Source organism: Homo sapiens, chromosome 4, assembly GCF_000001405.40.
Source record: "Homo sapiens chromosome 4, GRCh38.p14 Primary Assembly".
NCBI lineage: Eukaryota > Metazoa > Chordata > Mammalia > Primates > Hominidae > Homo > Homo sapiens.
In genome coordinates this window covers 95,549,546-95,562,703 of record NC_000004.12, presented here as the reverse complement: position 1 = coordinate 95,562,703, position 13,158 = coordinate 95,549,546, and the positions used below count along the sequence as shown (strand labels likewise).

General features: G+C 37.3%; 1 long non-coding RNA gene across 2 annotated transcripts in view; it reads right to left on the bottom strand.

The window, feature by feature from the left end:
* UNC5C-AS1 (UNC5C antisense RNA 1) overlaps positions 1-13,158 on the bottom strand; it is a 38,581-nt gene that overhangs the window by 25,025 nt on the left and 398 nt on the right. The window contains exons 2-4 of one of the 2 annotated variants that reach the window (NR_183914.1): positions 7,645-7,783; positions 7,011-7,111; positions 5,079-5,176 (exon numbers count right to left, since the gene is read on the bottom strand). This is a non-coding gene — a long non-coding RNA (UNC5C antisense RNA 1). Of the gene's footprint in view, positions 1-5,078; positions 5,177-7,010; positions 7,112-7,644; positions 7,784-10,243; positions 13,156-13,158 lie in introns of those variants that run through there. The other variant, NR_183913.1, reaches the window with a different exon arrangement.

Here is a 13,158-nt window from a genome sequence, read left to right as displayed (position 1 = left end):
AAGCTAGCTTTTCCACCCCCAGGACTCACATGGCTTCCAGCATGACCCTCATTTGCCTCAGTCCGTTCCTCTCTTCTGTTAAGTCAGCCTTATGTATCCACAAGTTCTGCATCCACAGATTCAACCAACCACAGATGGAAAATATTTGAAAAAAAAAAGCAGCATAACAAAAAATACAAATTAAAAACAGTACAGTATAACAACTATTTACAGAGCATTCACATTGTATTAGGTATTATAAGTAGAGATGATTTAAGGTGTACGGAAGGATGTGCATAGGTTATATGCAAATACTATGCCATTTTACATCAGGGACTTGAGCATCTGTGGATTTTGGTATTCTCAGGGGTCCTAGAACTAATTCCCGTGAATACCCAGGGACGACTCTATAAATTCCCTTCCAGGAAACTCACAGCTGGGCTAGAAAGGCTTCTGCATCTACTTATCAAAGCAAAACTTAAAACACAATCTTTTCTGTAGTGTATGGAAAATTAATCCAATTCTGACAACTTCTTCTCTTTATATAGTCCAAATTCATCTATTTACAACACTATCAAAACAAAGGAAATGACATTATACTCCCAACCTCTCAAGAATAGGAACCTTCAGTACCTTCAGAGGAACACAAGAAACACCCTTTGGGTGTGACAAAGGTTGTTTATGCTCCGGGAAACCCAGTTAACTGTCTGGAACTTCTCTCTGGCATCCCTTACTTGTTTGGCATTAAAAAACTACCTGAAATTCTCAGCATTTAGCTCCTGCTTATAAGTGAGAACATGTAATATTTGGTTTTCTGTTCCTGCATTAATTTGCTAAGGATAATGGCCTCCAGCCCCATCCGTGTACCCACAAAGGGCATAAATCTAGTTGTTTTTATGGCTGCATAGTATTCCATGGTGTATATGTACCACATTTTCTTTATTCAGTGTACTATTGATGGGCTTCTTAATACCTGAGTGATGAAATAATCTGTACAACAACCACCCATGATACAAGCTTACCTACATAACAAACCTGCGTACATACCCTCGAACTTAAAATAAAAGTTAAATCAAAATGAAACTACCTGAAATATATAATTGTGTGAATGCTCAGACATCTGCATATAGACTTTCCCCTATTTCTTTAGTTTAACAAGTGGATAGGAAAGTTTATAAACACATAGTACATATACTATTTTTCATGGTTGGTTTAAAGGAGTTCAAACATAATTTTGACTATAATTATTTTCAATCTCAAACCTAAATTCAATGGTTTTACTAATAATATTTGTGTGTTGCTTTAGTTATGTCACATATGTACGATTCATTTATTTTGTGGCCTAATACATGAAAATACAACCAAAATAAAAATTATCTTTGAATGACATTGTGGGACCTGCAATTCAGTGTCACCCATACAAATGGAAATAATGTAGGATTTGAACTATTCCGAAGTTTTTAAATGGGCCAATTTAAAGATATTATTAAGATGCTCAGGTTTTGAAAATTATGACATAAAATGCAAAGAAGAGCAATCAGACAAGTTGCTACCAGGAAAAGCATTCATTTTTTACTTTGCAGCTCAAATCAACATCTCCATGACATTCATGTATTTATAAGCTCTAAAGCAGAGCTTCACAGTGGGGGCGAGGTGGGAGACTATCAGAATCACCCAGGAAGCCTTTTCAAACTACACCAGTCCTCCTCTCCCTGCAGTCCCTCCTCCCCCTGAGATTCTGCCTAGATGTGTCTCTGAACTTGAGCAACACCATCTGTTCACTTACAAAGAGGCATTTTTATCTCTAAAAGGGCAGGTTTCTGCACAGGAGCCTCTAACATGTATAGAAGGCAGGGAGGGGAAACCCTGAAACATACATCAATAACATAATCTCCCAATTGAATGCTGACATGTTAAAAGATGGATATGTCTATAATATTTTCTGAGTGATATATTCAATTGGTTAGCCTTTATGCTAATGAGATGAAAATTGCTATTTTAAATACACACATAGGTTAGTAAGCTTCATTCTGCAAGTTTTCCATAAATTCAGGCTTCATTCTTGGAAATTTTCATAAATGCAAGCATTTGTAGAATTAAGTAAAAGAGTGTGGCAATCTCAGCTCAAATCAACTAGTGCTATTAGAAAAGCATGGTGGGTGAGTAACATCAGCTTTCCATCATAAGGAATATGAAAAGCCATTCTTATTATATACACATTTCCCATTGGGTGAATTCCTATGACCAACATGTCACATTCCCTTGAATGTTTTCCCTCTTTAAGAAATATTGTGAACATTTGTAGATATTGTTCTATTCTGCACAGAACTGACCTTCTAGGTCTCCTTTGCTGCAAGTGTTACCTTGAGTTTGTGAACATAAGGTATAAACAGAAACACGCTGCTCACATTTTTATGTTATAATCACATAATTGAATCATTTTCTTCTATCATGCTTTTGCCAATTTATTTGGAATATGGAATATGTTGAGGTTTTGAAACTAAGTATTCATAAACTATTTCATTTTGAAGAGTAAAAATATTTGTATGAGTGGATGTAGCATTAGATCATTTATGAAATAAAAATACTTAAAATGTTACAAATATATAGTCATGTGTCACTTAACATCAGGGATATGTTCTGAGAAATGCATCCCTAGGTGATTTTGCCATTGTGCGAACATCATAGGGTGTCCTTAGACAAACCCAAATGAAATAGCCTACTACACACCTAGGCTATATGGCATAAGCCTACTGCTCCTAGGCTACAAGCCTGTACAGCATGTTACTGTACTGAATACTATAGGCAAATGTAACACAATGGTATTTGTGTATCTAAACATAACTAAACACAGAAAAGGTACAGTAAAAAAATACAATTGGTATAATCTTACGGGACCATTGTTGTATATGCTGACTCTTGTTGACTGAAACATCGTTATGCAGTACATGACTATTTAATATAACAAGCCATTTATATCAGTGACATGACTAAAAGATTTCTGAACCATCTTTTACAAATAGGTACTTAGTAAATTATAATAATAATTTTTAAAAGCTTATATTTATTAATGTTTACTCTATCCAAGCATGATTATTAGTGAAGTATGTGAATGAATTTGTTTGACCTACACAACAATATTACAAGGTAAGTACTACTATAAAGTGGCTATTACTATCCCAATTTATAGACAGGGACAGATAACTTATAAGCAGCTCATGAAATTTTCTGTGGTGACAAAGTTAGTAAGGGACACAGCAGGAATTAGAAGTTAGGAGGCATTTTTGCTTCAGAGTTCATGCTCTGAAACACTTGACCACGGTAGAGGTGCGCTGGTGCCCCGTGGCTCATCCTTGTGTTGAGTCTTGCTAGCCCTGCAGCACACGATTACTACCCATGCCCTTGGCTTCTACCAGTGTGGAGATCAAGAAAGTTACTATGGTTTTTTAACTAGTGTTACCTCCTGTGTCCTTTTTCACTAAGGGCATTCAGGATGTCTCTGATGCAAAATTGCCTTCGATGCTCAGAATGCAGAATAGCTTCCTTTAAAAAAAATTTTTTCCAGGGTACATCATGTTGATATAAGGTGATCTCCCCCTCTTAACTTAACTAGAAGTTTCTATTATTCCTTCCCTATTAAATACACCCCATGGAGAGCAATAGAAACAAAGACTTGACTTCTTTGTTCTTTGGAGCAAAGTCCTGTGCTACTTTGCATTGGAGTAGGTGATGATGATTTAAATATTACTATAACACAGTAAAATCCTTCTTGAGAAGCTAGCTAAAAGTCTAGAATAGTAACATATATAAACAAGCAGGCAAATCATTGCAAGGCATTTATTCTTAAAAATATCTAACTTGTAATATTTTCATAAATTATAGTGTTGGATCGCCCACTGAATCCTGCTCCATAATACCTGGCTGTTCTTGGCTAGTGGGGTAGTGGCCCTTGTGGGTGATTATCTGAACTATTGCTTCCTTACTATTTAACTTCATCTCATTCTTTGGGGACTTGTATTTCACACAGTTCTGTTTAAAATACCTCTAGAAAATTCTCCCTTGAATTGTTTTACTCCTTCTTTCTTTCTCTGTATTTTATATTTGTTTTCCTCCATGTGATGACAAAAATTTATTTCCGTTTTTACCTTCTTTGTTCTTTTAATTTAATTTCTTAACATACCGTAAACAAACAAAAAACAACTATGATCAACATAAGGCTAGTTAGCACTAGTGCAACACCTATGTTAAAAAAAAATCCTTCTATTTCCTATTGAAATTAGACATGAAACAAGAAGAGGGGCTTCACGTTTGGAATTGTTGGAAATAACATGAAATGAACTTAGAAATCTCCTTAAAAACTTTACACTTTCCTCCTCATTCTTCTTTATTTTTTCTACAAGTATAGAGATCAAATGTTTTGCTTTTGTTTCATTTAAGTTATATTTGGATTGGATTATATATGCTGTAATAGCATTGTTTTCCACATAATGACAGATGATTAACAAGATTGTGTGGGCTGAATTCCAAACCATAATTTATGGCATGTTTCTGCAGGATAAAGCACAACACATTTCTAACAATAAAGTTATAAGTAAATTTAGAAAAAAAAGAAAGTAAAAGATTTCTAATTATAATGACTGATTTAGGTTACATACTATAAAATATTCTTATTTATTATTTTACTTTAAGTTATTTATTTATTTTTAAAAGATTTATTGATTACCTTCTCTGTGCCAGGTAGAGTTTTAGGGACTTTGAGAAACAAATAATATGGCTATATATCCAAAATGTTGGTGAGTCATTACAGTATTTCTTGAATAAACGATTTAAAGGCCCAATGAACACCAGTAATCCTAAGAAATTAATGTGTCCCACTTTCCTTTAAATCTTATTTTTAATTCTTTAATGACTTTTAATTAAGTTGAGGGTGGCTTACTGTTACAAGTAGTTTTTCAGGGTTACATAGTTTATTCTTAATTATATCATGAATATTTAATAACATAAATTTCTCATCCTGTGTTCTGGCAGTAGTAACCACCATCCCAATCCGGCATCTTGTATATATAGCCTTCACTCATTTTCTGCTTACTACTACTTACATCCAGGCTCTCGCTGCTTCTCATCTTGATTGTTGGAATATACTCCTAAATGGATACTCCATGATTTTTCTTCCCACTTTAGTCCAGCTTGCACATTGCTGCAAGAAATGGTCATGTTATTACCTCATTGCCCAAAGACCTTTGGTCACTTCCTATTCTATGCATAATGTGGGACAGACTTCCTAGCAAACCACAAAACACCTTTGAAAAAATAGCTCTATCTTCATTTCCAAATTTTCCTGCCAGTATTTGCCTGCATCCAGATAAATTCAACTTCAGATCCTAAGTTGACACTAATTTAGCATAGGCAAGTTAACCCAAATAAACCTCAATTTCCTCATGCTTAAAATGAGGATAATAATGATACCACTTCATATGTAGTATTGTTGTGTGTATTAAATGAATATCTCTCTTTATACAAAACAACGTGTTTGATTAATGAGTGTTCAAAAATGTTAACAATTATAATTTATATAATGATAATGATAAGAGCATTAAGCATGATGCTTTCTGGCCTCCAACCTAAGTCACTCAGTATTTGCTATTCCTGTGCTCCTTTTGCCTGCCGTGGCTCCAGTTCTTTCTTCTCCCCAACTCAGCAAAAGCAAATTCTATTTATCCTTCAAGACCTGGGTCTAATGTGCTTTCACTTAAGATCTCACTGATTCCTCAATGTGAAGTAAGTGTCCTTTCCTCTCATCTCCCATAGTGATGTTTCTATAACTCTCTCACCGCACTTTTCAGAGTCAGCCTATTTAGTTCTATAGTCTGTCTTATTTTCTATTAGCTTAGTAATACTATCAGGGAGATTGTCATTTTATTTATCTTGAGCTTAATCTGAGGACACGATTTCTCACACTAGGCACATTAGACACCTCTTGCTGCAACAGTGCTGCATAAAAAATTAACCCTGAACTCGGTAGCTGAACACAAGCACCTTTTTTTTCTTGCTCATGAGTCATTTGGTCTGATGCAACTCAGGCTCTGGGCTCCACACAGCAAGCACAAGGCTCCAGGCTGCCCATCTCTCCATGTGTCTCTTATCCACCTTGGTTTGGTGGTTACCTGGAAAATGTTCTAATGCCTTAGGACTAATGGTGAGAGCACATGAAAATGAGTAGAGGTATGCAATGGGAGCAACTGGCACACTGTAGCACCTGCCCAAGATCACTGGCCAAAGCAAGTCCCATGGCTAAGCTACCATCAGTGAGAGAGGAAGCCAGTACGACCCACAGTGCAGTGGGTGGTCCTGCAAGGCATAGTGCAAAGGAAATAATCGGGTAATTCTATTAACTGGAAAGGAGTAAAGAATAAAGAATACTGCAACCTATCATCCTCTGTTCATTCTAGAACTGCTTTTTTAAGGACAGGAGTTCCCTGTAATGGTCTTTGGAAAAGCAGGTCTGGGGCAGTGAGGAATCATTGAATAAGATTTTAGGACAGTAAAATGACAGGTTTTACATTTTAGAAGGTCTTTCTGGGAGGTGTGGAGAGCATGGATTAGAATGTAAAGGCAAACTAGCTACTAAGGAAATAATTACAAGACCTCTCGGTAACAAGCAAATATATTGTGAGTCTGTAGGGCTGGTGATAATGGGATAGATCCTGTAGCCCTTTAAGTAGTGAAATTGAATGGACTTATAAAATAGTAATTGAATAGGTGATGTGGGCAAAGGAGGGAGATACTGAGAATAGCTCCAGAGGTTATACTAGGGTGGTATCATTCATGTATAGAAAGCCACATCACTAATACTATTCTTCAGATGATTATGTAAATTAAGTACAATAGACAATGTAAAGCATATCTTACCATAATGACATCTTCAGTATAGACATATTACAAAGCACTTTCACACAGATTTTATAGTCACAGGAACTTTGTGCATTCATATTGTTATCATTTCTTATAACAAATACGTGCAAAGAACTTACAGGGATTTCTGAGCAAATAACTTAGATAAATGGAGACTTAAATTCATGTTTCCTGATCCGGAGTCTTCCCACCATTCCATTATGTATTTTATTTCTTCCATCTGTAAAATGAGAAAAACGACTATGGTCTAACTTGGCAGATAAATTTAAAATAAAATGAGATATTAGAAAAGCTCTGGTAAGCAATAATTATAATCTCTATCCCCAGTAATACTCTTCTAAATTAGATATTCTATTATTTTCCTTAAGTTTTTATTGACCTTTTCATTGTTTGCTCCCTCTAATAGCAGTTACAACATGCTACACCAATGCAGAAATCACACTGGATTTTATTTATCTCTTCCTTTATTTCTTCTTTTTGTCTTTCTTCTTTCCCTTTCTTCCTTTGTCCCCTGCATCCTTTCTTCTTTTCTCCCTTTCCTTTCTTTTTTCTCCATCTTTCCTGGTATCTTTCTTTATTTTTTGCTTTGCTTCTTTTTTATAAATATTATTTCTACAGTCCAACTATAAACTCCATGAAACTCTACCTCAATGCTACACAATTTCCAAAAGTTCAGTAAATACACTTTAGTGAACTGAATAATGGAGTCCTTTCCATCTTTCTATTTCCCAATGTGATAGAAAACACACTCACCCTTCCCCTGTTTTGGAGACTCCAGAGACTGAGGCAAGAGGATCACTTGAGGCCAGGAGTTCAAGGCTGTCGTGCCCTATAATTGCACCTGTGAATAGCCAGTGAACTCCAGCCTGGGCAACATAGCAAGACTCCATCTCTAAAAAAAGAAAAAAGAAAAAAGAAAACACTTTCCTCCCTTTTCTCCTTTTTTTCTCAACCAACTATAGAACTATTTTTCATTTACCTGTAATTCTTCAAATACACCCTCAAATGCCCTGTCTTAATGTCTTTCTTTCTGTGCCTTCCCCTTGTTGCTCCTCTCCAACAGAGTTGTGTCCAACTCAGATGATCTGGCCAACATGCACAACACCCTTCTCCTTATCCACCATTTGTGATTGATCTTAGGGGGCTATTTGACAGACCGTCAAGGAAATGGAAACTACTTGGGCTGAGGGCTTCCAGAAAAGTTATTTGGAAGGCATCTAGGCTAGATGCAGCCCCTCAGGACTGTTCCACCTTCTTCTGCCTGAAAAGTGAAACATGACTCCTGGAGGTGGAAAAGCTATCAAGCAACTGTGAGAATGAAAGCTGTACATTCTGGAGCATGGAGCCAAGACATGAAAAGAGCATAACTGAGCTTCCACAGTGGCCATGTACTGTCTACTCCCAGGTTCCTTATCGTTAGAGATAAATACACCCATTGTGTGAAGAACAGTATTGCTGATACACAAGTGTGTGTCTTACTTTTAGGTAAATCTTCTTCTCAGGCTCCCATATCCTTATATTCCCACAACATTTTTGTGTTTATTTAAAATCCTTTTGTTTATTCATTTATATTGCCTGTAAGATTCTGAGCCATTGCTACACAAGGACTATACCTCATGCATATTTTTCCCTAGGGATCCTAGAGTGGAACCACAATATAACAGGGGGGAAGTGAAAGTTTTCTGAATTGAATTGGATTTAATTCTTCCAGTCAGTTAATGGGAAAAGCAATCCACAGGGGGCTGGCTGCTCTTCAGCCTTTCTTAACTAGTGCTCTTCTTTTGCTACAGTGATGTGTTGTTGCACAAAAGCCTGGAGAACTCATCTTGCCTCATATACCACAGAATAGGGATTTGTTATTTTGTCTGCCCTACATCCATTCTCTTTGGCATCTTTTTTTTTTTTTGTATTAATCATTTTCTATTGTATCCTTTTGGAGAACCCCTTATCCCCATTTTCAATCCAAGTTTCCAGTTGGCAAATATTGGCACATGACCAGGCCTTGCCATTCAGTATATGCCAAACATCTGGCCATGGTAATTGCCTCAGTTGTGAGTATGTGGCCCAAGATAGGCCAGGGCCATAATTCTGTATTTATTTTTTGCCATTTGGAAACGAGTGTGCTTTGTGTTGAGATTGACAATGATAAAGACAATGTAAACCTGGAGCTGCTGGGAATCCCAGGATGGAGATCATAAGTCTGTGAATGAAACCAAAACAGAGGAGAGCATAACCAAGATATTGAGGGTGGGGGGAAGTACTAAGTCCCATGAGTGATATTTAAATTCATGGGTCTAAGACATCATCCCTCAAATCAGACTGTCGCTAGTAAATACTAACTGTGTGTGACCTTGGGCAAAGTTACATAACCACTCTGTTTCCTCATTTATGAAACGGAGATAATAATGGCACTTTCATTCAGTTATGATGATTAAATGAGATAGCACATGTAAAGAGCTTAGAAAGTGCCTGACACACAGTGAGTGATAGTAAATGGTATCTATTATTAAATAGATATTTCTTATCCATAGTTTTTGAGTTATGCACAGTGATAAATTATCTTTTTGCTTAAGCTGGTTCGAGTTGGGTTTCTTTCACTTGCAACCAAATGGGTCTTATCTAATAGAATTAATAAAAAGCAGAAAGCCCTAGAGAGTTTTGGTTTATGACAAGTTAAATCTCTTTCTCTGGGCTAAGGCAGGGAAGGAGGATTGAATCAACTGAATCTAGACCATCTGGCTCTCCTTCGTTGATGTCTATCAGTAACATTATGTGAGGTCTCTGAACTCCCAACTTGTAGGAAAGGAGTTTTCCTCATCACCATCCTATTTATTCACTAAAATCCTCTTTCTCCTATGTTGCCAGTTAATGCAGTTAATAATATCCCTGGTATGAAGATTTATTTTTAAACCTACACAAAAAATATAAAAAGTGAGGAATCAAACATATAAGGAGAGAGATACAATGAAAGAAAATATTTCCATAATTAAAATATATGATCAATTGTTTTTGATTTAAGCTTTAAACTGGAAACTTTTTCAGTACTAGTTCCGAGTAAATGATATTATTATGAAGCAGCCTACATGCTAAATAGCATACTTTTCTTGGTGTAGATTTCTGGAGGGATATGCAGGGGATTTGCATGCTTAATTCCCATTAGCACCTGTCACTGGGATTTATTATCCTAGAGTTAATTCTCCACTCACTGCAGCCAAGAAAAAGAAAGCCCTTGTATATGGATTTAAATGAAGCTTTTCATTTTTCAAGATGAGATGAATTTCCTGTCTGTTCCTTAAACACCTGCAGTATTCCAACCCTAAAAAGTCAAATTCCAATAAATTTTTGGTGAAAATTTGGCAAAACTTGATTTTATTCAACAACTAGAAAAGCCTACTCATAATTTGATAACTTGAGAGGCTGAAGAGGAGAGGAAGAAGGTTTAATGAAGGACTTAGCTCAATTTTAAATCCATTGGTTCTGATTCAATCCATTCAATATTCAGTAAGTATTTATTGATCACCTATTATGTACAAGGTATTGTTCCAGGTTCTGGGTATAGAGCACTGAATGTATTAGAAAAAAATTTCTCCCCTGAGAAGCATACATTTTATTGCAGACTGCATATATATATACATGTATACACACACACACACACAAATATATATATACACATATATGTACATATATAAAGTAAGTGTTATATGCAAAATCAAAGCTGGCAAATGATATTTTGGATGATAGATTGTTGCTATTTTAGGTAACTTGATCAGTGAATGCCTCCCTAAGCAGTGTCATTTGAACCCAGATCTCGATGACTTTAGTAAACCTATTCTCAGGAGCCTATAAAACACTATTATTTCTCTCATGAGGAAAAAATGTGATGATCAACAAAAGTAGTCAGGATGTTAATTCACAAGACAAGTTCCATCTGTACTTGTAGAGAGCAGGAAACTTGCCTGCTGTGTAAAGCTGATGTATTGCTGGTGTTTTTCCTGTCCTTTGTGTGGTGCTCTCACTCTCTTCCCCCTTTTCCACCTCATTACTCTATACCACTTCTCAAACCATTCTCCTGCCATCTTTAGGCTGAATTTCAGTATTTAACTACATTTCCTCTTTTAATCTCGTATTCTTTATTTTAAGGAACTAATTGCATGTGGTATCTGTCACTGAGTACCTCAATACCCCAAACAGGAGTAGGCGACAATTTCAACCTTCTTTAGCTGTCCTAGACTTTGAGGAGTCTTCCCCATTGAGCTTTTTTGGCAGGAAATCAGTCAATATTGATTGAGTACCAACTATATATCAGGCTCAGTTTAGGAGCTGTGGTTGAAATAATGAACAAAGGCAAAATCTCTGTCTTAAAAGAGTTAAATTCTAATTTAAGAAGACAGGCAATAAAATTGTAAATAAATAACTTTTGGATGTCGTTGATGTGATGGTGAGTATGTGTGGAGATTTCTTAGTACTTAAGCTGTTGTCCTTCTTAGTAAAATTGTACATATAAATATAAAGTATAATAATAATCCCTTGTGAAGTCATTCTCAAAATACTTGACAAGTTATTAGTGGCCTCGATACACCATAAAATATGGTAGCTGCTGGCCACATGTGACTATTTAAATTAAAATTAAATAAAAATTTCCAATTCACACTAGCCACATTGCATGCAAGTAGCCACATGTATCTCATAACTACGACCTCAGAAAGTACAGATATGAACATGTTCTTCATTGCAGAAATTTCTGCTGAACAGCACTGGTGTAGATAGCATGAGGCTAATGGGAATTTTTCATCAATGGTAAGAACAGCAGTTTACAATTTTGGCGTCAGGCATTTTACATATGTTTAACTTACATAATCCTCAAATAACCCTATGAGATAGTTCCTGTTACTAGACCCATCTTACAAATTAGGGAAGAGAGGCACCTAGCTTTAATGTTCAATATCAGTCAAGTAATAAGAAATGCTAAGAACTGAAGGCAGACAGTCTGGTGCCAGCACCCACCCTGTTGTCAAATATCTTGATGTCTTGGTATGGAGAAGATGAAGAGAGTGAAGAAGGGTTTTGTGTGGTGGACAGAGTCTCCACAGAAATAAGAAGTGGCCAGTTTTGTCAATGTCTTTGGCAAATACTACCTTTTCGGATCTCCCTGATTCATCCGAGATAGGTCTTATTGCCTAGATGGGGCTGTGCAGGCAGAATCATAGAATGTTAGAACTTAAGAGAACTTTGAAACTATCAAAATATTTCACAAATGAAGAAACTGAGACATTCACAGGTTACCTGACTTACCCAGGGTAACAGAGTAGTTATGACCACAGCCAAAATTAGACCTCATGTTTCCTGCGTGTGTGTGTGCATGCGTGTTTACACATGGCCCCCTTGGCACCAAGAGCATAAAATTCCCTGATGTATTATTAGTTTAAAGACATGCTAATCTTGGGAAGTGATTTTCTTTTTCCCAAAATGTTGTCTGTGTCTGTGTGTTGACCTTTTAATAAATTCACTTTCCTTTTGTCTAGTCTTATTTTACCCACCCAATCTTGCATCCCTCCATCATGACCACAGGGATTCACAACCCAGCTACGTAGACAATTATTTCCTGTAGAAAGGTAAACAAATTCATAGCAGCTCGAGTTCTTACACACACTATTAGAAATTTGAAAAACATGTTATAGGCTCCACCATCACTTTGAGTATCTACAAATTTTGCTTTGCATTTTTTTTTTCTAAGAGAGTTTCTCTCGGTATCGCATCACCACCCTTGTCAGCCACCAACATGCACGCAAAGAAAGCACTGTTGCAGAATGAGTTTCCGTCGAGCTTTTAGTTTCTGTTCCACTGCAAAGGGGTCATACGCGCTCAGAACATAAAGCAGTCTGACTGGCGCTGACAACCCCAGGACAGCAGCCGGCTGGGGCAGTGCAAAAGCTTCATGCCTTCTTCCCCAACCAAGAAGGACTTCAGTTCGAGCCCGCACCGGCTTCGTCAACCGCGAGACCCGAAGTCGTAGACCGAGTCCAGTCCTAGGGAATTCGGCTGAGGCTTTGCCGGCGCGGCGAAGAAGGTGGCAGGCGGCAGGCTGAGCTCCACTGGACACAGCCTAGTGGCCCGGGGCGCGCCCGCTGCACTCCCGGCGTCCAGGTCTGGCGCACCGCGGGAGGCAGGCGCGCTGCCACTCTCCGCAGCCGCTTCGTCCCCTGGTCTGTCTCGCCTCGGCTTCAGCGGGCAAACCCACAGCTGGTCTCCTGGGCGCTGATCTCCCTG